This window comes from Homo sapiens, chromosome Y (assembly GCF_000001405.40).
Source record: "Homo sapiens chromosome Y, GRCh38.p14 Primary Assembly".
Classification (NCBI taxonomy): Eukaryota; Metazoa; Chordata; class Mammalia; order Primates; family Hominidae; genus Homo; species Homo sapiens.
In genome coordinates this window covers 13291339-13318520 of record NC_000024.10, presented here as the reverse complement: position 1 = coordinate 13318520, position 27182 = coordinate 13291339, and the positions used below count along the sequence as shown (strand labels likewise).

The window sequence follows — 27182 nt, the reverse complement described above, 5'->3', positions numbered from 1 at the left end:
CGTTTAATCATAGACAACTTGATCATATGAAAGTTGGGTTTTTTTTGTTTGTTTGTTTGTTTTAATAAATCCTCTTATTGTGACTTATGCAGATGGGTCGTGATATACTTCACTCTCTGGTTTATCCTGAACATCCCTCTTTCTTAAACAACCAGTTGTTTTACTTAGGACTAAATTTACCATACAAGATTCTTTCTCATATGAAATTATTTCTCTTTAAGCTTTCTTACCAAAACAAAATCTCTTTATTTTTATAAAATTTCTTTTTACCTCTTTTATTTGCTGGTTCCTTTTACATTATTATTATTATTATTATTATTATTATTACTATTATTACTATTATTATTATTATTATTATTATTTGAGACAGTTTCACTCTGCTATCCAGGCTGGAGTGCAATGGCACGATCTTGGCTCACTGCAGCCTTTGTCTTCCAGGTTCAAGCAATTCTTCTGCCTCAGCTTCCCAAGTAGCTGGGATTACAGGCATACACTATCATGCCCTGATAATTTTTATATTTTTAGTACAGACGGGTTTTCACCATGTTGGCCAGGCTAGTCTTGAACTCCTGACCTCAGGTGATCCACCTGCCCGGCCTCTCAAAGTGCTGGGATTACAGGTGTGAGCCATCGTGCCCGGCTTACTTTGTTTTATACATAACCTAAGCTTTGAATCAGATAAAAAATTGTTCACCTTTTTAAAAAGACACCCTTTTTTCTAGAATGGATATTTTCCTACAAATATATTTTTATTGGAAAATAAGCAAATAATAAAACATGTTATTTAATTTAACTTTAGATTCTAAATTTTGACAAATTTGTCTGCAAGTATTTATCCTATTACAGTTACTTTAATTGTTTAGCTAGATTATTTATAAAAACCACAACTGTAATTATTTAAAGTTATGAGACCACCATTGCAAAATTATAATGGAGACAGTGAAAAAGATTTCGCCTAATTGACACCATCTTGCTTCTAATCTCCACACTGTCCTTGTTCATTCCTGGGGTGTAGGCCAAACTAACTTTGGAGGAAGTTAGTTTATAGTTTAACTTTGAAACAAAAACAGTAACATCTCTTTTCTAAAGTAAGCCCTACTACCTGTGGACTGCTTGAAGCCAAAAGATTAGAAGTTATGGCAGTCTTACTAAATTCAAGATGTAACTATTTTTATTAAACTAATACCAGTGTCTTCTTTATTAAAGAGCACACAAGCAGCCGGGTGTGTTGGCTCATGCCTGTAATCCCAGCACTTTGGGAGGACAGGGCAGGCAGATCACCTGAGGTCAGGATTTGAAGACCAACCTGACCAACATGGCAAAACCCCATCTCTACTGAAAATACGAAAATTTGCCGGGCATGGTATCATGTGCCTGTAATGTCAGCTACTCAGGAGGCTGAGGCAGGAGAATCACTTGATACCAGGAGGCGCAGGTTGCAGTGAGCCGAGACTGTGCCACTGCAATCCAGCCTGGGTGATGGAGCAAACTTCCATCTAAAAAAAAATCTTTTAAAATCTCATTACGATATTTCAAATAGGGCAAACTGCTGCTATTTCAGAAATACAGCCATTGCTCTGTCCTTTTGGCCTGGCTTGCAAAAAGGTGGACTTTTACATCAACAAAGCCCTATAGTAGCCAAAATCAAAAGAGTTTCTCCTCTTTTTCTTTTTCCTTTTGCTAGCCGTTTTTCTTCCTCTACCGCGCCATCTTTTTTTTTCTCTCTGTCTGTCCCGTGGGAATTTAGTCACTTCAGAGGCTTTTTTTCCCCACAATTTGGAACTTCCTTTGGATTTGATCAAGTCATATAGAGTTGATCAAATCCAGTGGGAAAAAGACCGAAAAAACAACAAAAACAGAAACAAACAACAACAAAACAGTTAAGCAAAACAAATGATCACACAGTTTATATGATTACTGAGTGCTCTGATGGTAAGGAGAAATTAAGACCAGCTGGTTGTTAATCTTTAGCCAAAGCAAACCACAGTTCAGTTACTTACCTATGGGTGGGTCTCAGGCTGATAATTGCTCTATACCATCCTAGAAGCGGGTTAAAAAAAAAAGAAAAGAAAACGAAGAACAACTCATCTTCCCTGTTGGAAGAGAATACAAACTCCATAAAGGAGTTACCTGCCTTCCATCATCATGGAAGCAGGAAAGGCATGCCTTCCTTGTGTTAGAAGCAAGTAAAACTCAAAATAAAATAAAATAAGTTGTACAGCAAAATAAACTTCGGATCTCGAACAAATTTTGGGAGATCAGGGATTCTCTGGAGGGGCTTCTTCCATGCCTCAGCGAATTGTCGTGTTGGTATAGTGCATAAAGATAGCTTAAGCTGGTACCAAGCACCAGTAGGAGATTCGTGAAAGGTCAGAGGCACCTCCACTCAAAATCCCTCTTTGGTTACCTCAGTATGAACCCCAAAAATCTCAAGAGAGGTCTCAGTTAATTTAATTTAGAAGGTTTTATTTTGCCAAGATTGAGGACACACACCCATAACACAGCCTCAGGAGGTCCTGTCGACATATGCCCAAGGTGATGAGGGTAGTTGGGTTTTGTACATTTTAGGGAGACATGAAACATCAATATATGTAAGATGAACCATTGGTTAGGTGTGGAAATGAGGGACAACTCATTTCTGGGGAGGTGGTCTTCAGGCCATAGGTAGGTAAGAGAAAAAATGGTTGTATTCTTTTGAGTTCCTGATTAGCCTCTCCAAAGGAGGCAGTCAGATATACATTTATCTCGGTGAGCAGTGGGGTGGCTTTGAATAGAATGGGAGGCAGAATTGTCCTAAGCAGTTCCCAGCTGGACTTTTCCCTTTAGCTTAGTAATAAGATAGTTTCCTTTTACAGTTTCCTCCCCAACCCCTTAATAATCTCTGTTTTGTTTTTTTGTTGTTATTTGTTTTTGAGATGGAGTTTTGCTCTTGTTGCCCAGGCTGGAGTGCAATGGTGTGATCTCAGCTCACTGCAACCTCTGCCTCCTGGCTTCAAGCTATTCTCCTGCCTCAGCCTCCCCAGTAGCTGGGATTACAGGCATGCGCCACCACACCCAGCTAATTTTGTATTTTTAGTAAAGACGGGGTTTCTCCACGTTGGTCAAGTTGGTCTCAAACTTTCGACCTCAGGTGATCTCCCTGCCTTGGTCCCCCAGAGTGCTGGGATTACAGGTGTGAGCCACTGCGCCCTGTCATCTCTTTTTCACATTCTTTCAAAATACGTTTCACAAATTCTGGGTTGCTCATGTAAGTGGGATCATAAAGTATTTGTCCTTTCATATCTGGCTTTCTTGGGCAGGTTCATCTGTGTTTTTAGCAGTATAATTTTACTATTTTTTATGACTGAATAGTAACTCCATTAAGTATGTACCACATTTTGTTTATCTATGCACATTTGAGTTACTGTGTTGAGTACAGCTGCTCTGAAAATTGATGTAAATTACGTGTTCTAGTCTCTACAGCCGCTGGATTGTGTGGTAATTACTTGCTGAACTTTTTAAAGGACGACTATATTGTTCTGCTCAGTGCCCGCACCATGTTAATTCCCACTGGCGTTGCCCAAGAGAATTTACAAGTATTTGCAATGATTTACAATGTTTTACAAGTATTTTCTCCAATTTTGTTTATTGTAATTTTGCTGTTTTGGTAATAGTGTCATTTGATAAATTTTTAATTTTTGTGAAGTCCAGTTTATTTACTTACTTTGTTGACACATTCTTTTGAAGTTTAAGAAATCATGGCCGAATACCATGTCACAGCATTTTCTCTTGTTCTCACAATTTTATAGTTTTAACTCTTACGTTTGAGTCTCTGATCTATTTCAAGTTAATTTTGTATGTGATCCAAGATAAAGAACCAACTTTGGTTTTTTGCATGTAAATATCTCGTTTTTCCAATCCCATTTGTTCAGAAGACTGACCTTTCTCCTGCTCAATGGTCTTGGCAGTCTCGTCAAAAATCACACAAGAGTTTTTGTCTTGATTCTGTGTTCTCTTTTATTGGTCCGTATGTCTGTCTTTATGTTACTACTACACTATTTTGATTGCTATAGTATTGTATTAAATTTTGAAATTAAGAAGTGTTCGTTTTTGTTCATTTTCTTTCTTGAGATAGAGTCTTGCTCTGTCACCCCGGCTGGAGTGCAGTGGCACAATCTCGGCTCACTGCAAGCTCCACCTCCTGGGTTCAGGCCATTCTCCTGCCTCAGCCTCCTGAGTAGCTGGGACTACAGGTGCCCGCCACCACTTCCAGCTAATTTTTTGTATTTTTAGTAGAGACGGGGTTTAACTGTGTTAGCCAGTATGGTCTCAATCTCCTGACTTCGTGATCCACCTGCGCCTGGCCCTTTCTTTATTTGTAAAATACATCTTCTATTTTAAAGACAGAGGGTTTATGTGCAGATTTGTCACTTGGGTTTAATACTCCCAGGAGGTGAACATAGTACCCCACAATAAGTAGTTTTTAGCTCATGCCCCACCTCCTTTCCTCTCACATCTAGCTCACATTTATGTCCATATGTACTCAGTGTTTAGCTCCCACTTATAAGGGAGAAACTGCAACACTTGGTCTTCTGTTTCTGAGTAAATTCACTTAGAATTATGGCCACCAGCTACATCCATGTTGCTGCAAAGGACATCATTTTGTTCTTTTTTTGACTCCATAGTGTTCCATTGTCTGTATACACCACATTTTCTTTATCCAATCCAACACTGATGAGCACCTAAGTTGATTTTATGTCTTTGTGTTCCCAGACGAAACCGATGATTGGGCTGCTTATTCTCATGGGCCAGTAATGAGATGCAGATAAACTGGGAAAGAAGAGCATTTATTTCTGAAGTAACCGGGTACAGGGAAAAAGCCAGGAAAATTACAAAGTATTCTAGAGCTTATACTTTCTAAGTTATATGTCAATGTGTAGTGTGCATTCATCTAAACTCATAAGTGATCAACAGCTTCTAATTTATAACCGAGGGGTCTCAGTTTTGAAGACCTTCCTCTGGAGCCTCAGTAAATTTACTTAATCTAGATGTGTCCAGGTGCTGAAGACCTTTATCCTGTTTCCTGCTAAATCGTGGAGGTTTAGGGAGTTTCTTTAGACCACCAATAAAACTTGTTTGTGTAGGTCTGGGGAGTTTCTTCAGATCCCCAATCAAAACTCATTTAATCCTAAACAGATTCTGTTAAGAATTTGTTATCTTGTTATCTACAAGGCCCAGAAAAGGCCTGGGCAAAACTCTTGATGGACTTTTGTTACATTCCAGCCTTTATGTGAGGGCACTGACTCTTTCAGCTTTTAACATTTAAATTAACCACTCAGTCAGTGCTGAAACAGTTGTGATGGAGGCCTGCCTGTTCAGCTGTTAATGAGACCTGGCTTGCCACATTTGCTATTGTGAATAGCGCAATGATGATGAACAAAAGAGTGCATGTCTATTTTTGTAGAATGCTCTGTTTTCCACTGGGTAGATACCCAGTAATGAGATTGCTGGGTCAAATGGTAGCTCTATTTTAGGTTCTTTGAGAATTCTCCAAACTGCTTTCCACAGTGGCTAAACTAATTTATATACCCATGAACAGCGTATAAGCCTTCCATTTTCTTCACATCCTCGCCAGCATGTGTTGGGTTTTTTTGTTTTTGTTTTTGTTTTTGGCTATTTTTAATAGTAGTCATTCTGACTAATGTGAGATAGTATCTCATTGCGATTTTGATTTGCAATTCTTTGATAATTAGTGATGATTGAACACTTTCCTTTTTTTTTTCTGAGACGGACTTTCATTCTTGTTGCCCAGACTGGAGTGCAATTGCACGATCTCCAGCTCACTGCAACCCCCTCCCAGGTTCAAGCGATTCTTCTGCCTCAGCTTCCCGAGTAGCTGGTATTACAGGCATGTGCCACCACACCCCGCTAATTTTGTATTTTTAGTAGAGACAGGGTTTCTCCACATTGGTCAGGGTGGTCTCAAACTCCCAACCCCAGATGACCCGCCCGCCTCAGCCTCCCAAAGTGCTGCAATTACATGAGCCACCATGCCCAGCCACATTTTTCCCATTTTTTGGCTGCCACTTGTATGTTTTTTTTTTTTTTCTCCTAGCAGAAAACAAATTATATGTCCTCTTTTTTTTTTTGAGACGGAGTCTCGCTCTGTCGCCCAGGCTGGAGTGCAGTGGCGCGATCTCGGCTCACTGCAAGCTCCGCCTCCCGGGTTCACGCCATTCTCCTGCCTCAGCCTCCCGCGTAGCTGGGACTACAGGCGCCCGCCACCACGCCCGGCTAATTTTTTGTATTTTTTAGTAGAGACGGGGTTTCACTGTGTTAGCTAGGATGGTCTCGATCTCCTGACCTCGTGATCCGCCCGCCTCGGCCTCCCAAAGTGCTGGGATTACAGGCGTGAGCCACCGCGCCCGGCCCTGTAATGTCCTCTTTTTAGTAGACATACCCTTTTCATAACCTTTGTCCATTTTTTAGTGCGGTCATTTGTTTTTTGCTTGTTGATTTGTTAAGTTCTTTGTAGATTCTGGATATTAGACCTTGGTCAGATGCATAGTTCACCAATAATTTATCCCATTTTGTAGCTTGTCTGTTTACTCTGTTGATAGTTTTTGTTTGTTTATTTTGCTGTGCTGAAGCTCCATACCTGAATTGGGTCCCACTTATCAATTTTCATTTTTGTTGCAGTTGCATTTAGGGACATAGTTAAAAATTGTTTTGCAAAACCAGCGTTGAGAAGGGTATTTTCTAGGTTTTCTTTTTTTATAGTTTGACATCGTACATTTAAATATTTAGTCCATCTTGAGTTAATTTTTATATGTGGTGAAAGGTAAGGATCCAGTTTCATTCTCTGTGTGTGGCTAGCAAGTTATTCCACCCAGCACTGTTAGTTGAATAGGGAGTCCTTTCTGCATTGCTCTTTTTTTTTTTTTTTTGAGACAGAGTCTTGCTCTGTCGCCCAGGCTGGAGTGCAGTGGCGCGATCTCGGCTCACTGCAAGCTCCGCCTCCCGGGTTCACGCCATTCTCCTGCCTCAGCCTCCCGAGTAGCTGGGACTACAGGCGCCCGCTACCACGCCCGGCTAATTTTTTGTATTTTCAGTAGAGACGGGGTTTCACCGTGTTAGCCAGGATGGTCTCGATCTCCTGACCTCGTGATCCGCCCGCCTCGGTCTCCCAAAGTGCTGGGATTACAGGCGTGAGCCACCGCGCCCGGCCGCATTGCTCATTTTTATCGGTGTTGTTGAAGATTAACAGTTGTAGGTCTATGGCTTTATTTCTGTGTTTTCTGTTCTGCTCAGTTGGTCTGACAATGTGTCAAAACAGCAGTACCATACTGTTTTGGTTACTGTATGTAACCTTATAGTATGGTTTTAAGTCAAGTAGTGTTTTTCAAGATCATTTTTCTATTGAACTTCCTTAAGATTAATTTTTTTTTTTTTTGGGGACGGAGTCTCACTCTGTCGCCCAGGCTAGAGCACAGTGGTGCGATCTCGGCTCACTGCAAGCTCTGCCTCCTGGGTTCATGCCATTCACCTGCCTCAGCCTCCCGAGTAGCTGGGATTACCGCCTGTGCCACCACATCCACCTAATATTTTTGTATTTTTAGTAGAGACGGGATTTCACCGTGTTAGCCAGGGTGGTCTGGATCTCCTGACCTCATGATCTGCCCACCTTGGCTTCCCAAAGTGCTGAGATTACAGGCGTGAGCCACTGTGCCCAGCCAAGATGAATTTTTTAATCCTGCAAAAATTGTTGTTGGTATTTTGATAGAGGTTACATTGAATCTGTGGGTCACTTTTGGTAATATTGACATGTTAACAGTATTTAGTTTTCCAAACTGTAAGTCCTTATCTTGGTCTTGATCTTAGAAGAAAAGCTGTCAGTCCTTCCTAGGTTCAAAGTTATGTGTTTTTCATATATGGCCTTTATTATGTTGAAGACCTTACCATTTGTGCCTAGTTTGTAGAATATTTTTCTCATATATAAGGATATTGAATTTTGTGAAATTGTATTTCTTATCAGTTGAGATGATCATGTGAGTTTTTTCTTCATTTTATTAATGTGTGTTAAATTGACTGATTTTAATATGTTGTTAATCATTCAAGAATTTCAGGAGGAAAACCCACTAGTTCATTACATACAAACTTTCTATAACGTGTTTCTGAATTCATCTTACTAATATTTCGTTATTATTTTTGCGTTACTATTTATAAGATACATTGTTGTGTTCTTACAGTGTCTTTGTCCAGGGTCTCATGATAAATCTAGGCTCTGAGCATGATAAATGGAATTTTTTTTTTTTTTTTTTTTGGTGAGATGGAGTCTCACTCTGTCACCCAAGCTGGAGTGCAGCGGCATGATCTCGGCTCACTGCAAGCTCCGCCTCCCAGGTTCTAGCGATTCTTCTGCCTCAGCCTCCCGAGTAGCTGGGACTATAGGTGCCCACCACCACTCCTGGCTAATTTTTTGTGTTTTTAGTAGAGATGGGGTTTCACTGTGTTAGCCAGGATGGTCTCGATCTCCTGACCTCGTGATCTGCCCGTCTCGGCCTCCCAAAGTGCTGGGATTATAGGTGTGAGCCACTGCGCCCAGTCAGTAAATTGAATTTTTAAAAAGTTTTTGAGAAGCATTAGTATTAGGCAAAACAGAGACCAGTATTTTAGACAGTCCTTAGATGAATTAGAATGTTACAGATAAGGTTCTCTCTTTTGAGGGAACAAATTAGGAACGAAATTGACACCTCTTTTGTAGCAACACTGTACCAGGCCTTTGATGGAGTGAGGCAAGCACAAGTAAAAAACACTATAGTATTTCCCACTGATTTGAGTGTGACTTTTTCTAAGTTGTTTACCTGGATGCTGTAGATCTGTGATTGTTTTCCATAGATTCCATCAGGTTATGTTAGGTAGTTTTGTTTTGTTTTTTTGGTTTTTTTTTTGAGACAGAGTCTCGCTTTGTCACCCAGGCTGCAGTGCAGTGGCGTGATCTCAGCTCACTACAAGCTCCGCCTCCCGGGTTCACGCCATTCTCCTGCCTCAGCCTCCCAAATAACTGGGACCACAGGCACATGCCACCACACCCGGCTAACTTTTTTGTATTTTTAGTAGAGACGGGGTTTCACCGTGTTAGCCAGGATGGTGTTGATCTCCTGACCTCGTGATCTGTCCGCCTCGGCCTCCCAAGGTGCTGGGATTACAGGCGTGAGCCACCACACCCAGCCCCTACATTAGGTAGTTTTAAATTTTTTTACATAGGGAAGTGTGAGGGCTTGGGGCTTCTTCATTGACCATTTGGGCTCATGTCACCTGTCCTTTATTTCTTTTTATACTGCTTCATCAAGATAATTTACATAATATACAGTTTACACATATAAAGTATACAGTTCAGTGGTTTTTAGCGTACCTCATAGGTGTGCAATCATTATCATAATAAATTTTACAAATTTTTTTTATTCCCAAATGAAAGCCCATAACCATCCACAGTCACATTTCCCCCAACTCCAAGAATTCAAGCAACCACCTGCCTGCTTATATCTGTAGATTTGCCTGTGTTGAGTGTGTGTGTGTGTATGGGATGATATCATGTCTTTTTGACTGGTTTCTTTTTTATTTTTTAGCATAAGATTTTCAAGGTCTATTCATTTGCAGCATGTATCACTAAACCACTTCTCTTTTAATGACAATATTACATTGTCTGGGTATAAACCGTTTTTGGTGGAGGAACTCTGTCATCAGTTTATGAACATTTAGGTTGTTTCTGCTCTGCCTCGTAGGTATTCCGAGTAATGCTATTATGAATACTTATAAACAGTATTTGTGTGGGAACATATACCCTCATTTCCCTTGTATAGATGCTAGATTATGTGGTGTAATAACTCATTGTTTACTCTGGGGGGTTTTTGTTTGTTTTTTATTGACAGTCTCACTTTGTTGCCCAGGCTGGAGTGCAGTGGTACTATCTTGGCTCACTGTAACCTCTACTTCCTGAGTTCAAGCAATTCTCCTCCCTCAGCTTCCTGAGTAGCTGGGACTACAAGTGTGCACCACCACGCGTGGCTAATTCCTGTGTTCTTAGTAGGGAAAAGATTTCACCATGTTGCCCAGGCTGGTCTCAAACTATTGACCTCTAATAATTCATCCAGCTTGGCCTCCCAAAATGCTGGGATTACAGGTGTAAGCCACCGAACCCGGCCTCATTGTTTATTCTATTAAGGAACTGTCAGATTAATTTTCAAATGGCTACATCATTTTACATTTTCTTTTTTTTTTTTTTTTTTGAGACAGTCTCACTGAGTCATCAGGTTGGAGTGCAATGGTGATAACTCACCTCACTGCAGCCTCTGCCTCCTGGGTTCAATCAATTCTCCTGCCTTAGTCTCCCAAGTATCTGGAATTTTAGGCACACACCATCATGCCTGACTAATTGTTTTTTGTATTTTTAGCAGAGACAGGGTTTCATCATGTTGACCATGCTTGTCTTGAATTCCTGGCCTCATATGATCCACCTACCTCAGCCTCCCAAAGTGCTGGGATTACAAGCATGAGCCACTGTGCCTGGCCTACATTTTTATTCTTAATTTATAAGTTTCCCATTTCTCCATCTTCTCTGATGCTTATATACCATCTCCTTTTGATTCTAACCATACTATTAGTTTTGAAGTAATATTTCATTTTGTCTTTTCCCAAATGGTTATTTGTTAAGCATCTTTTCATTAACATATTGTTAATGGGTATATTTTCTTTGGTGAAATGCATGTTTATTTCCTTTGCCCATTTTTTAATTTGGCTATTTTTCTTTTTATTATTGAACCGTAAATTATATGCATGCTTATTCTTGCTAAAAATTCCTTCTCAAGTATTAAATGTGTCAATACTTTTTTCTTTTCTGTGAGTAGTCCTTTCACTTTTTCTGTTAGTGTCCTTTGAAGTACAAAAATTTTAATTTTGATAGAGTTTAATTATTTGCATTTCTTGGACTTCATTTGTTTTTGTCATTGCTAAGAAACTATTGCCTAACCCATAGTTATACAGATGTACTAATTTTTTTTTTTTGCATGAGTTTTGTGTGATATCTTATATTTAGGTCACATTCATTTTGAGTTAATTTTTCTGTACATTATGAGATAGAGGTCCAACTTCATTCTTTTACATGTGGATTTCCAGTCCTCCCAGAAACATTTTCTCATTGCATATTCTTGAAATATTTCTGGAGAGAATAACAAACATTTTAAGTTCAGCATTTAATTTTTTATTACAAATGTTAAATAAAAATGTGAAAATGTTTTATTATTTATATAGAACTCTTTGCATTGAAAATTTAGCCTGTGAAGAACTTCGTCCATATGCCCTTAGTTTTGTTAATGTGATTCACCCACAGAGAAAGCCAGGGTAACTAAATATGATACTATAATCAGAGATAGAGGATCTTAACATTGCTCACTCTGTACATATTTTCATATGGATGCAAATGTATTTCTGCCAGTTTAGAATATGTGCCATGGCTTTGCTACTTGGCACTTATAATTAACATTAGTAGTTATACCCCTCAGTACTTTTGGCTTCAGGTTTTTCTTCATTATCTTGTCTTTGGCCCAAGTATAAGAATCTACAGATTCTTTCTCATAAAACAGTGTCTACAGGGAAAAACAAAACAACGCTTTTTCTTTATTACAAAAGAGAATTGGAGGGAGGCTGAGGCATCGGAGGGAGACTGAGGCAGGAAACTTCCTCGAACCCAGGAGGCAGAGGTTGCAGTGAGCTGAGATTACGCCACTGCACTCCAGCCTAGGCAACAGAGTGAGGCTCCGGCTCAAAAAAAAAGAAGGAAGAATTCTGTCTTCTTAAGTGCTTTCTTACATCTTTTTTTGTTTTAATATATAATTAGTAAGCTTTTGTATGTTGTCCTTGTTTTCATTTTTAGTTCTCTCTCATATTCTCTTGATATCATTTTAAATGAAATTAATTTACCATTTAGAAAATTCCTTGGTCCAAAGTAAAATATGAATGAATACATGCTTTTCTTATAAATTAGTATAATACCTGAATTTCATATTAATTTTGTAGATGATGGAGGATGTTGAGTACCGTGAACTGGACTTTGACTTTTCCTGTGACTTAATTTAATGTGATTATAGAAGATATTTTCTGTGAAATGTGCCTGTAAAAACTTATTTCTCAAAAATAGTCAATACTGCTCATGTAGATGAGTATAATTTGTATAATAGAAGTGATAGCCTGTTAGAGGATACTAAGTATGAATATTTTTTTCTTAACCTGAAGGAAGAAAATGAGAAAAGAACACAACACAAAGATCATTCAGATAACGAATCCACATCTTCAGAGAAGTAAGTAACTTTTAGCACCCACTCAACATTTCTGTCTAAAATACATGGATTTCATATTCTCTCTTTTTTTAAGTTCTGGAAGGAGAAGGAAAGGACCTTTTAAAACCATAAAATTTGGGACCAACATTGACCTCTCTGATAACAAAAAGTAAGTCTCCCTGCCCTAGTGCTATTTCCATGAACTGAATCAATGAGGGTATTGCAGAATTGGGAATTGTCTAGAGAACTGTTTTTTTTCTATTCCTAATTATCTCTCTCTCTTTGTTTCTTGTTTTTTTATGTTGACATGTTAGTTTTACCTAATAACCCTAAAATTCTGAAATCATTTTGACAAAGTTTTACAATTAGAATGTTATTCTTCTTAAGAAAACCAAAGTACCCTCTCTATTAATACAACTTTATAAATAGAAAGTAAATTGTTTCTTTTATTTAGTAGGTTATACAATTTATGATTTTTTTTTTCAGTAATCTGTGTTTGTCTTAAGACTTATTTTTGGAATAAGTTAAACGCTTTAGTTCTACTGACTATACAGGTAAAATATTTATTGATTTAAGTATTTTTCTGATTGAATCACAGGGTTTTTGAGGATGTGGTGATTCTTACGAGTTTTTACTCTTAATCTGTTAATTTATTGCAGGTGGAAGTTGCAGTTACATGAACTGACTAAACTTCCTGCTTTTGCGCGTGTGGTGTCAGCAGGAAATCTTCTAACCCATGTTGGGCATACCATTCTGGGCATGAATACAGTACAACTGTATATGAAAGTTCCAGGGAGTCGGACACCAGGTGATTTTAATGACTAACATATCTTACATGATTGAAAAAATTGAGTTTATCATGCGGAGCAGGCATAGAGAGCACATTGTCATTTATACTTCTAAAGCCAAAAAGATTTTAAAATTCTTTATTATAGGTGAAAATGTTCATATTACTCTTAAAATTGAGCTCAGGGTATTGTTTTTCCATCATTTTTATATGAAAAAACAATCGGAAAAATGTAAACTGGGAAAGGGACTCTAAGTTTCTGAGTTGTAGGAATGACAACAGGTTAACAATGTTTTTCAGAGGTTTTCACCACAATTACAGTGAGAACAATGTATTATGAACCAGTTTACTGAAGTTATGTATAATAAAAATTTCATTGACAATACTGAAAACGTGATGCGCTTTTTTTTTTTAGAAAATGTAATCCAAAAACTGTCTAATTTTAAGCAAACATTTCTTTTTTTTTTTTCATGCGTCATTTATTTACAAACATTTCTTTAAAGGGCTAGATACTAAATATTTTAAACTATGCAAGCCGAGAGGTTCAATTGGCGATATTTTGTAGGTATTCTATTAAAAAAAAACTATTTTTTATGGATTTTTATTGATGAAAATCATAATAAATAACGGATGCATTTTTTTTGTTTACTAGTTAAAAGAATGGAATTATTTTGGAGGAAATAATACTCCACTTCATTGGGGCTCAAATACTGTGTTCTTGTGTCATCAAGATTAACTACAAATGTACATCTGTTAAAGTTGTTCTGTGGTAGTGAGATCTTCAAAAATGTCTTTTCAAGTGGATCAATACTGCCATGTACTGATGTCAAACTTTGAGCATATTTTCTTGAGTATATTAATTGTCTTAAAGGCACTTATAGAGTTAGATTTTTTTTCCTTTTGAGTTATTTTCTTTTTGGGTTTCATTACATTGCAGATTAATTTTTTCCAATTGAAGGTCAGTTGCACCTTTAGTTGGAAAACCTCACAGTAGTACAAATGGCTTTTGAAATAAGCACATTTTCCTGCACTTTTGTTGAGATTTGGAAAATGCTGCTGTAATTATATTTTGAACCTAAAGAAGTACATATTTGCAAATGTGTATGGTACTGGAGATGTAGCTTCTTACTTGTTTTTAGTAGCTTAAGAAGTAGCATATAAAAGCAGCTTGATACTATTTGCAATTCAAAAAATTTCTTTTGTCTTCAGAATGATTTATTATCCTAAAAGTTTCACAGGTAAGTTCTCTTTGCTTTGTAATTTTTAGGTTGAACTTATCAAGAAATGTTTTGAAGCCTGCAGCAAAATTTCCGTGGCCAGTAAGTGGTCAATAACAGTGGCAGAAGGTGGTACTTCTTCAGAAAAATTTCCACCTCAACTCAGAGCTCTAAAAATAGCAATACAGCTTCATCATATCTAAATCATTGACCTGCTTTTTTTAGACAAGTGAGGATATTCAGTCTCTGTTTCTGACAAAATTCATGGAACTTATGTTCAACAGGTTGATGAGACTGGCATATGATAAGATATTTTTCACAAGTCTGCCAATGAATAATACAATACAAATGAACATAGATATTGAAACACCTTACATTTTCACAGTGAAAATGAAATAAATTGCATGAAATGAAAAATGTCATTTTTCTTTTAAAATCTAGCAGGGGAATAACCAAACTTTTAATAGATTATCTCCTTGTCATTTTGTCTCTCAAGTGTTTGGGTTTTTTTGTTTCTTTGTATAACATTAGTACTTCAACAGTATCCTGTGGAACTGTTAAGGAATTCCTTAGAGGAAATGTAGTATGTTTTTGTTTGCCAGATATAATTTAAAGAAACATTGTTCTGAATTTCTGTATAGGTAGATTTTATTCCAGTATTACATTAGTATAAATGATGCCTGCTATAATACACTTCATATTCTGATATGATCTTTAATGTGTTCTAAAATATTGGGATTGCTGATAGATCATAAGCTAAGATTATCTATATGGTATGTAATGTAAATGTTTCTAACTCTTTCACCATGGGTAGGTGCCTGTGGTGTCCTAGTATTTCTAATTTGTATTTTTAAAGCCCTTGCCATGGGCAGTGCCATCCACCTACTCATTGTGGAAGAGTTATGATTCTTTACATTATATGCTAACATTTGACATGTGGTAGGAGCCAAGAGTGGTAGGAGACAGGTTACATTTTGAACACTATACCTTTCTTAATAAGGTTTCTGCTACTATTTGCGAGAATTGAGAAGTCGTTTATAGAGAAGGAACTACTAATGACTATAGCTAATATGTATTGCATATTATGTTCTGTTCAAAGTTCTAAGCATGTATTTTTCGCTCAGTCCTCAAAACTATCCAGTAATTTAAAGGCACATTTCTCCATTTAATTTATGCTACAATTGTGACTTACATTTTCTTTTACTTTTCAGGTCACCAAGAAAATAACAACTTCTGCTCTGTTAACATAAATATTGGTCCAGGAGATTGTGAATGGTTTGTTGTACCTGAAGATTATTGGGGTGTTCTGAATGACTTCTGTGAAAAGTAGGTTTCTGAACTAAACTTTCATTTAAGTAACTATGAGAAAATAGGCATAAAGGACAAAGTGCAAAGCTGAGTTTCTTCATGAAACTATCAGTTTTTACTTACTGCTCAGCAGAATTTTTTTAAAATGATTTGATTTCAAATCTTTTATGTTATCTAAATACTTAATGAAAAGATGTCATGCTAAGCACAGTGTCTTATGCCTGCAATCTCAGCACTTGGAGATGCTGAGGCAGATGGATGTCTTGAGCCTAGGAGTTTGAGACCAGCCTAAGCAACGTGGCAAAACCACAACAATTAGCCTGCACTTATAGTTCTTCATACTCAGGATACTGAGATGAGCCTCGGAGGTTGAGGCTGCAGTGAGCCATGATCATGCTATGGCATTCTGTCGTAGGTGACAAGAGTGAGACCCTGTCTCAAAACAAAGAAGCAAACTGAAAGATGCCGTGAACTAGTCTCTGCCGTGGTAATAGGTGTGAATTGATAAGAGAGTAAATTGTTTTTTATGTTAATGTAAAAAATTTATGCATTTTTCCAGATTTGACAAGTGTGCCTTAAAGAAAAATTTTACTTACGATTGTTTTTAGAAATTATGGGGAATTATAAAATAAGGCACCCTTAGAGCCTAGTAACTCAATTTTGTGTATCTTTGTAATTTGGGCTAAAAATATCAATAACAAAGGAATCACAGAATTTGTTTTTTAGAGTTGGTAAAGATATTAGTGGAAAAATACAGACATAACTGGAACTGTATTACATACTAAAACATACTGTAAAAAAATAGAATTCCTAGAGAATTATATATGAGGTTTACATTTTAATCAGTTAATATGCATGTTTCACAAAGTAATTTCTACTTTAACCTTTTGGAATGTCTTTACATTTTATTTGGTAAAAAGTTCATCTTATTAAAAACATAAGGTTAATTTTCTTACCTACTGGCAAGAAATAATCCCTTTTTATTGCCTTTGTTGTCTAATGCAAAAGGTTTCCTCAGCATAGCAAAGATGGAATTTTTTAACATTTAAAACTTATCAGTAACACTTTCATCTGAACTCTTTGTTCTGAACCTAGGAAACTCCAAATACACAGAAACAGCAGGGGCAAACAAGGGAAAAAGAAATCTATACAGGGGAATCCCTATCGTGCTACATAAAGAATTTTTTTCTTAAAACTGTGAGGATGTATATTGCAGTTCTTATTACATTTAAATATAATGACTTTTGTTCATTTTTCCTGAGTGGGAACTGGCATTTTCAGGATTTAGCTTTTTTCCTTTCTGAACAGAGAAGTGACCTTAGGTTAATGATTGTTGGGGAAAAAAATGTGATATCTAAAAAGTTAAAGATTGGAAATAATAAAAATATGAAGTTAAAATGATTCATTTATCCTAAGATTCAAAAACTTTGCAGTCCTCTTTGCAGTTTCCTTGTAATTTTATTTTGTATAAAGTATCACCCTATATATAATTAACTGTTGTTCTGAACTTTTGAAAAAGATACTGTCTGCCTTTATTGGCTTTGCTGCTTTTTTTTTAATACAAAATTTTCTCTAATTTTATATTGGTAGTATACGAGTAAGATAAGGTAAGACTTGTGCTATGCTTATAATTTTTTCCTTTTCCTTTCTTTTTTCATTTTGCTTCCCATTTACTGGCAAGCTTTTTAAAGTTTATGGGAAACGGGCTGGGCACAGTGGCTCATGCCTGTAATCCCAGCACTTTGGAAGGCCGAGGAGGGCTGATCATTTGAGGTCAGGAGTTCAAGACCAGCCTGGTCAACATGGTGAAACCCTATCTCCACAAAAATGCAAAAATAGCAGGTCATGGTCATGTGTACCTGTAGTCCCAGCTATTTGGGAGGCTGAGGCAGAAGAATTGCTGGAACCGGGAAGCAGAAGTTGCAGTGAGCTGAAATTGCACCATTGCACTCTGGCCTGAACAAAAGGGCAAGACTCTGTCTCCACATAAAAAAAAAAAAAAAGTTATGGAAAACTGTAATTTTTTATTCCTTGAATTGCTAACCTCTGCTAAAGTCAAAAGCAATTTTAGGAGAATAAAATGAAACGGAGTAAGATTTCATATAGACAACTCCAGATTGTTATCATTTTTTAAAGATAAAATATAGAAACAAAGCAAAATCAGTTCTTAAATCTGAAACATTTTCTACTATGTGAATTTCTTCCTCTTGAGAAAACTTAATTTGAAATATTTTACTAAATTCTTAATAGAAAACAATGTAGTTACTGTGCAGTACATCACAATATTGAAAAAAACAAAATTTTTTTTTTGATACAGAGTTTTGCTCTGCCCACCAGGCTGGAGTGCAGTGGCACGATCTCAGCTCACTGCAACGTCCGACTCCCAAGTGCAAGAAATTCTCCTGCTCACCCTCCTGAGTAGCTGGGATTATAGGCATGCAGCACCGCACACCCCGCCCCCTGCCCCAAGCCCCCGGCTAATTTTTGTATTTTTAGTAGAGCTAGGGTTTCACCATGTTGGCTAGGCTGGTCTTGAACTCCTGACCTCAACTGATCCTCCCTCCTGGGCCTCCCAAAGTGCTGGTATTACAGGTGTGAGCCACCACACCTGGGCAACAATACGGAAAATCTGGTGAAGGAGAGTAACAAAAAAATGAGACTTTTATATTAAAACTTCATAATTTTGTCTGTTTGTATTGGTGCCAGTGGTGGTTTGTATATGTGTATATGGCTTCTTCTGGTAGTTTTTTCAGCTGCCTTAAGTCAACTAATTCCTAAAAGCTTATGCAAATAGACATTCTGTCCTTACTCCCCTTTCCTGCCTAGGATTCAGAACAGCAGTAGAGGATGATTTCTGCTCTCCTTCTCACCCCTGACTCAGGAATTGAGAGAAGGTCCTGGTTCTTATATCTGCCACAGTAATTATGATTAAGATTTTAAATGACTTCATGTGATTTCTAACTAGAGTTTTCCTTTTTAGAGATCTCAGAGTATTAAGAGGTTTTTTTAGTTAAAAAAAAAAGATGAGTCAAAATATTTCTTATTGAAAAAATTAAAAATCAGTATGTTTAACTGTAATTAGAAATTTAAATATTAATTTGTAGACTTTTGAACAGTAAGTTTAAGCTGATAGTAGTTGATCTTTGGATAAGTCTATCACTATTCACCTGCAATTAATTTTTCTCAGGACCCTAGCCCAAGCCTCCAACCGGAAATGAAAGAGGCAATTCATGTTGCAATGCTTTTGTGATGCAAAGTCTTTTTTAATTTGTTTGTTTTTTGTTTTGTTTGTGGTAGAGTCTCTCTCTGTTGCCTAGGCAGGAGTGCAATGGTGCAATCTTGGCTCACTGCAACCTCCTCCTCCCAGGTTGAAGTAATTCTCGTGCCTCACCCTCACGAGTATCTGGGATTACAGGCATGTGCCACAGTGTTTGGCTTTTTTTTTTTTTTTTTTTTTTTTTTTTTTGTATAGTAGAGACAGGGTTTCATTGTATTGGCCAGGCTGGTTTCGAACTTCTGACCTCAAGTGATCTGCCTGCCACAGCCTCCCAAAGTGCTGGGATTACATGTGTGAGCCACCACACCTAGCCCTGTGATACAAAGTATTAATGGAATAAAAACTTGAAGCATTTTTTTTAACTCTTGTTAAATCTTTTTTTAACTTGATTAATTTTCAAGTTGATTTTTCATTATTTTCTTTTTCAGAAATAAAACACCTTTCAACCTGATTTTCATTATTTTCTTTTTCAGAAATAATTTGAATTTTTTAATGAGTTCTTGGTGGCCCAACCTTGAAGATCTTTATGAAGCAAATGTCCCTGTGTATAGATTTATTCAGCGACCTGGAGATTTGGTCTGGATAAATGCAGGCACTGTGCATTGGGTTCAAGCTGTTGGCTGGTGCAATAACATTGCCTGGAATGTTGGTCCACTTACAGGTATTCTGAATAATAACACCAACAAGGTTTATATTTTAAAGGATTACCTAGTAGGTATTATTTTACTAGTAGAAAATAACTCACTGAAAATAGAAATAGTATCTCTTGTAGGAAAAAAATACCAATTTTTAATACAGAAATTAAATTCAGCTCAAAAATGGCAATCCAAGAACACTTTTTTTTTTTTTTTTTTTTTTTTTTTTGAGATGGAGTCTCACTCTGTCGCCCAGGCTAGAGTGCAGTGGTGCAATCTCGGCTCACTGCAAGCTCCACCTCCCGGGTTCATGCCATTCTCCTGCCTCAGCCTCCTGAGTAGCTGGGACTACAGACATCTGCCACCACGCCCAACTAATTTTTTGTATTTTTAGTGGAGACAGGGTTTCACCGTGTTAGCCAGGATTGTCTTGATCTCCTGAACTCATGGTCCGCCCACCTGGGCCTTTCAAAGCGCTGAGATTACAGGCGTGAGCCACTGTGCCCAGCCCAAGAACACAGATTTTTTAAAAATATAAATGATTTTCTTTGCAGAAATGTAAGATATACTTTTTATATTTTAGAGTGCTAGATTTTGTTTTTGTAAAGGAAGCCCTTTATTGAGTAAAGTATTGTAGTTGTTCATTAGAATTTTCAGTTTATGTAATATAGCATATGTGCAGCCCTAAAATGTCATAGTATTTAATATACATAAATAAATAATCTGGCCTTAAGAGCTAGAAAGACCTGAAATAGACCATGTCTCTACATTGCTAACTTTATGACTTTGGGCAAGTTTTATTTTTTTGTTTGTTTGTTTGTTTTTGTTTTTCTCTCAGGCTTTCACTTTTTCCTTCTACCAAACCACTTTCTTCTTCTACCAAATGAAGGCCTTGAAAGGATAAAATGAGATAAGATGTTAAAAGAACCTAGCACAATGTCTCGCATATTGTGACTGCTCTTTACGTTAGGTTTTTTTTTAACCAAAGTTATCACAAAACATAATAGTCTTACGGTGTTTCAAGGTTTTCAGAATTGGTATTGCAGTTGTCACCTGAGAGGTGATAAATGATGGTTATCTTCATGTGTTCTATTACTTTGGGTTACTTTATGACTGTTGCTTTTTTCCTTCTAGCCTGCCAGTATAAATTGGCAGTGGAACGGTATGAATGGAACAAATTGAAAAGTGTGAAGTCACCAGTACCCATGGTGCATCTTTCCTGGAATATGGCACGAAATATCAAAGTCTCAGATCCAAAGCTTTTTGAAATGATTAAGTAAGTGCCTTCTGAAACTGCTGCAGTTTCTCTTTGGGGGTATTGGTAGCCATTCAGTATTTTTTTCAAAAGAATTCTGTTGACATTAAATGATATCAGCAGTCCAGAAGTCTTGGCAAAATGTAATAAGATGTAAATAATCTTATATATTCATAAGTGTTATAAAATCTCATAAGATTAAAATATTGCCTTCCCTTACAGATAGTCACTTGTGTTTATTACAATTTAGAGAGGAATAAAGATGTACATGAATATACACTGGTAAATTTACAACTCTCTATTTTCTCGTAATTCTGATAAAACTGATTTCCCAGGACAACTTGTTTTACTATTTTAAAATAATTTTTGTTGCTTATTTTTTATGTTTATATTAAGGTATAGTTTATAGTGCAAATTGTATACATTTAAGATGTACAGCCTGATGATTTGATAAACATATATATGAATATGAAAGTACTGGCACCTCTCTTTGCTTCTCTTGCCATATGATCTCTGTATGTACCAGTTCCCCTTCCCCTTCCAAAGCCCTCACCAGAAGCAGATGCTGGTCCCATATTTCTTGTACAGCTTGCAGAACTGTGAGCCATATAAACCTCTTTCCTTTATATTATTACCCTGCCTTGGGCATTTCTTTATAGCAACATTAAATGGACTGAGACAGAAAATCATTATTTAAAAATGGGATACCACTTTTTGCCAAATATAGCTGAAAATGCAGAAGCAGATTTGCAACTGGGTAATAGGCAGAGGTTGAAAGAGTTGAAGGACCAGGCTAGGAAAAGTTTGTATTGTAATGAATGGGTGATTCTGATGAGGGCTCACAAGTCCAGAAGACAAGGGAAAGTTTGGAGCTTCTTGGGGATTGGTAAACTGTTTCTCGCCAAAATGCTGATAGAGAAAGTAAAAGACTTGCTGATGAGATCTCAGATGGAAATGATGAACTTACTGGGAACTGGAGCAAAAGTCACCCTTGTTACTCTGCAGCAGAGAACCTGGCTGTGTTTCCATTGCCCTAGGGCTTGGTGGGAAGCTGAACTTAACGGTGATGACCTAGGGTAGGGGGCAGAAAAAATTTCTAGGCAGCAAACTTTGAATAAGTTACGTGGCTACTTTTAACAGCTTACCATCTAAACCAGCAGCAAATGAATGAACTAAAGGTGGAAATTACAATTAAAAGGCAAGCAGATTGTAAAATTTGGAAAGGAAATGTAATAGGAAAGAGCATTTTCAGGAAAGGAGTCCAAGGGTGCTGAGAGCAAGCACTTGGTAGAGAGATTAGCATGACTAAAAGGGAGCCAGGTGCTAATCTTCAAGCCCATTGGAAAAAGTCCCTAAAAGCATTTCAGAAATGTTGAAGTCTGCCCCTCTCCTCACAATCCTGGAGACTGGGGAGAACAGAAAGGCGTGGAAAGTAGGGAGGGACAAGCCAGGGCATTGCTGCCCTGAGCCACCTCAGGATGCTGTTCTACCCATCCTGCACCACTGCAGAGAACTTAAACTTTAAGCCTTGATGACTTCCACAGGTGTTAAGTCTGTGTTGCCTACAGTACAAGAGCCATGGAACCTTGGCAGCTTCTACCTAGATTTCAGAGGATATATTAGAAACCTGGATGCTGCCACACAGAAGCCTACCACAGGAACAGAAACTCCACAGAGAGACCTCTGGTAGGACACTGCCCAATGGAGGTGTGGGAGCAGGGCCACAGTTCTACACACATCAGGTTGATAATGCCAGTGGCAGCCCACAAGTCCAGACTGGAAAAACTGCAGAAATTCAACTTTAACCCATGAGAGCAGTCATATGGCCTGTGCGCAGCAAAGCCACGTGAGTGGAGCAGCTTAAGGCTTTGGGAGCCTACTGCTCACACCAGTATGTCCAATATATGGGACATGGAGTCAAGAAAAATTACTTTGAAGCTTGAAGACTCAATGTGTGCCCTGCTAGTTTTCAGGCTTGCATAGGGGCTGTTACTCCCTTCTTGGCTTATTGATCCTTTTCAGAAAAGGATTGTTAACCAATGTCTGTTCAATTATATCTTGGAAGTGAATAACTCATTTTTTATTTTGCAAGTTCACAGCTATAAGGAAATTGCCTTGCATCTCAGGTGAGACTGGACTTTCGAGTTGGTGCAGGAACAAGTTAAGACTTTTCGGGACTAATGGAAAGTAATTATTGTATTTTAGGTTTGAAAAGTACATGAAATTTGAGTGGGGGCACAGAGATAATGCTATAGTTTCAGTGTTTGTTCCCCTAAATTCAATGCTAACATTTGATCCCAGTGTTAGAAGTGGGGGTCTCCTGGGGAGTGTTTGGGTTATGGGGAGGGATCTCTCATGAGTAAATTAATGCTTCTCTGTAGCTGCGGGTGTGAGTGAGTTCTCACACTGTTAGTTCCTGATAGAGTTGTTACTAAAAAGAGCCCATTGCCTCTGCTCTTCTGTTCCTTGTCTTGCTATATGATCTCTGCTCTCTCCTCCCATTCCTGGCCTTCTGCCATTAGTGGAAGCTATCTGAATCTCTCATCAGAACCAGATAACAGTGTCATTCTTCTTTTATAGTTTGCACTATTGTGAGCCAGATAATCCTCTTTTCTTTAAAAATTACCCAGTGTCAGCTCAGGTATTTCTTTTTTTTTTTTTTTTTTTTAAGACAGTTTTCACTCTCGTTTCCCAGGCTGGGGTGCAATGGCGGGATCTCGGCTCACTGCAACCTCTGCCTCCCGGGTTCAAGTGATTCTCCTGCCTCAGCCTCCCAAGTAGCTGGGATTACAGGGGCCCACGACCATGCCTGGCTGATTTTTTTGTATTTTTAATACAGACATGGTTTCACTATGTTGGCCAGGCTGGTCTTGAGTTCCTGACCTCAGGCGATCCACCTGCCTCGGCCTCCCAAAGTGCTGGGATAACAGGCGTGAGCCAGGGCCCCCAGCCTCAGGTATTTCTTTATAGCAATACTATACAGACTGGTACAGTCATCATCTTGTATGTTACATACCCTGAACCTATTCTTTCTGCATAACTGAAACATGGACCACTTGACCGGCATCTTTCCATATTTCTTTCCTTACAGTCATCGTTCAACATTGTGCTTCTGTGAGTTTGATGTTTTTAGATTGTACATGCATAAAGTGAGATAATGAAGTGTTTGCCTTTCTGAGTCTTATTTATTTCATTTAACCTGAAGTAAGCAGTGTTTTTCTCTGTGTTCTTCTAGTACTTTTTCAGTTTGAGTCTTGGCCTTTAAGCCATTTTGAGATGGTTTTTGTGTATAATATGAGATGACAGTTGAGTTTTATAATTCTGTATCAAACAATGCAGTTTTTCCATTACAGTTTATTGAAGACATTTTTCTTTCCCCATGTTTATTCTTGGTACCCTTGTCAGAGAGCAGTTGTTCATAGTTATGTATTTCTGAGGTCTCTGTTCTTTTCTTTTGGTCTGTATATCTGTGTTTATGCCAGTACCCTGTTGTTTTTATTGCTATACCTTTGAGGTACGTTTTGAAATCAGGTCACTTGATGCCTCTAGCTTTGTTTTTCTTCCCCAAGATTACTTTAGCTGTTGGAAGTCTTTTGTGATTTCATGTGAATTTTAGAAGACTTTCTCTCTTCTAAAATTGCATACTACCCACAGCAATCCACAGATTCAATGTAGTTGGCCTTTTGCTTGAGATTACATTGAATTTGTGGATTACTGTGGGTAATATGGACATTTTAACAGTATTTATATTAATACTTTCAAACCATGAGTACAGATGTTTTTCATTTATGTGTGCCTTTAATTTTCCGTATCAGTGTTTTGTAGTTTTCAATGTACAAATGTTTCACTTCTTTGGTTACGTTTATTACCAAGATATCTTTTTGTTGCTACTATGAATGGATTGTTTTCTTCATTTTTTTTTCTTTTTAGTAGTTTGATTTTTCTATATAAAGTGCAGTTGATTTTTACATGCTAATTCTGTTTCCTGAATCTTTTCTGAATTATTAATTCTAACAGTTTTCTTTGTTGAGTCTCTACAGTTTTCTACATAGAGAATTGGTATCTGCAAATACAGGTAATTATACTTCTTCACTTAAAATTTGAACACCATGGCCAGGTGCGGTGGCTCACGCCTACAATCCCAGCACTTTGGGAGGCCAAGGTGGGCAGATAACGAGGTCAAGAGATCAAGACCATTCTGGCCAACATGGTTAAACCCCGTCTCTACTAAAAATACAAAAATTAGCTGGGAATGGTGGTGCATGCCTTTGGTCTCAGCTACTCTACTTGGGAAGCTGAGGCAGGATAATTGCTTGAACTCAGGAGGCAGAGATTGCAATGAACCAAAATCATGCCACTATACTACAACCTGGACAGAGTGAGACTCCGCCTCAAAAAAAAAAATTTTGAATGCCATTTATTTATTTTTCTTATCTAATTGTCTGGCTACAACATACAGTATTAGATTCTAAACAGATGCCAAGAATGAGCATTCTTACTTAGGGTTTAGGAGGAAAGCTTTTCATTTCTGCCCACAGTGATTATGATGTTAGCTGTGTACTTTTTCCATACAGCATTAACCATGAGATCCATTCCTTCTGTACCTATTTTGTTGAAAGTTTTAAATATCAATAGAGTTTGAACTTTGTCAAATGCGTTTTCTAGATCTGTTTAGATAATCATGTAGTTTTACCTTTTTTTCTGTTAGTATGGTATATCACATTTATTTGCCTATGTCACACCATTATTATTTCCCGAGGATAAATTCACTTTTTCAGGGTTTATGATCCTTTTAATATGCTGCTCAATTCTATTTGTTAGTATTTTACCGAGGATTTTTCTACCAGTGTTCAATAGGAATGTTGGCCTATCATCTTATTTTCTTGTAACATCTTTGTCTGCCATTGATATTATGGTGGTGTTGACCTCATAAAATGAGTTTAGAAGTCTTCTTTCTTCTATTTTTTGGAAAATAGGTATTTTTCTTTGAATGTTTATTGGAATTCACCCACAAAGCCATCTGGTTCTGGGCTTTTCTTTGTTAGGGGAATTTTAATCACTAATTAAAGCACCTTATTTGTTACTGGTCTGTTCAGCATTCCTATTTCTTCTTGATGCAGATTTGCTAGGTATAGCGTGTTTCTTAGAATTTGTTCATATCTTCTGGATTATCTAGTTTTTGCCATATTATTGTTCATTATAATCCCTTTGATGCTTTATATTTCTGAATATCTTTTTCCTTTTCTTTTCTTGTTTTTGTTTTTGTTTTTTTTTTTTTCAAGACAGAGTCTCCCTCTGTCACCCAGGCTGGAGTGCAGGGGCGTGACCTTGGCTCATGGCAACCTCCACCTCCCAGGTTCAAGCAATTCTCCTGCCTCGGCCTCCTGAGTAGCTGGGACTACAGGCGCACACCACCACACCTGGCTAATTTTTGTATTTTTAGTAGAACAAGTTTCACCATGTTGGTCAGGGTGGTCTCGAACTCCTGACCTTGTGTTTGAAGCCCATCTTGGCCTCCCAAAGTTCTGGAATTACAGATGTGAGCCACCGCACCCGGCCTGTTTCTGAATATCTTTTATAATGTCTTCTTTTCTAATTTTGTTGGAGTCTTCTCTCTTTTTTTCTTTGTCAGTTTTGTTTATGGATTTAAAAGACTGGTTCTTAGTTTTGTTAGTGGTAAAAGTGGTCATCCTTGTTGTGTTCCAGCTCTTAAAGGAAAGGCTTTCAGTTTTTCCCTATTCAGTGTGCTACTAGCTGTGTCTGTTGTATTAATATATGGTTTTTATCATGTCGAAGGTCTGTTCTTTCTATATCCAGTTTTTCATTAGTTTTTATCATGAAGGGATGTTGAATTTTATCAAATGTGTCTTCAGAATTATTTGAAATGATCATATGGTTTTGTCCTTCATTCTGTTGATATGATATACTGATTGATTTGCATATATTGGACTATCCTTGCATCCCTGTGATAAATTCCACTTGGTCATGATGAATAGTTTTTATTTTATTTTATTTTATTTTATGTTAGTTCTTGAGTACATGTGCAGGATGTGCAGGTTTGTTGCATAGGTAAACATGTGTCATGGTGATCTGCTGCAACTGTCAACCCGTCACCCTGGTATTAAGCCTAGCATGCATTAGCTATTTTTCCTGATGCTCTCCCTTCTCCACGCCCTCCAAAAAGCCCCAGTGTGTGTTGTTCCCCTCCCTGTGTTCACATTGTTCAGCTCCCACTTATAAGTAAGAACATGTGGTGTTTGGTTTTCTGTTCCTGCATTGGTTGGCAGGGGATAATGGATTCCATGTCCATGCAAGGACATTATCTTGTTCCATTTTATGGCTGCATAGTATGATGAATGGTCTTTTTAATGTGTTTTTGAACCTGGTTT

The 27182-nt window shown here is 37.6% G+C and overlaps 1 protein-coding gene across 113 annotated transcripts in view; it reads left to right on the top strand.

Moving 5' to 3' along the window:
- The window catches only part of UTY (ubiquitously transcribed tetratricopeptide repeat containing, Y-linked), a 246776-nt gene that overhangs the window by 162150 nt on the left and 57444 nt on the right, over positions 1-27182 (top strand). For 89 of the 113 annotated variants that reach the window (NR_174404.1, NR_047602.1, NR_047634.1 and 86 more), the window contains 6 exons: positions 12271-12335; positions 12409-12483; positions 12974-13122; positions 15530-15644; positions 19377-19564; positions 20673-20814. Coding sequence is in view for 57 of the 113 variants with exons in the window: in XM_011531448.4 (XP_011529750.1) it covers positions 12271-12335; positions 12409-12483; positions 12974-13122; positions 15530-15644; positions 19377-19564; positions 20673-20814 (734 nt within the window). In the remaining 56 variants the exon portion in view is untranslated. Of the gene's footprint in view, positions 1-12270; positions 12336-12408; positions 12484-12800; positions 12869-12973; positions 13123-14310; positions 14340-15529; positions 15645-18452; positions 18545-19376; positions 19565-20672; positions 21013-27182 lie in introns of those variants that run through there. The other 24 variants (NR_047608.1, NR_047610.1, NR_047641.1 and 21 more) reach the window with 14 other exon arrangements.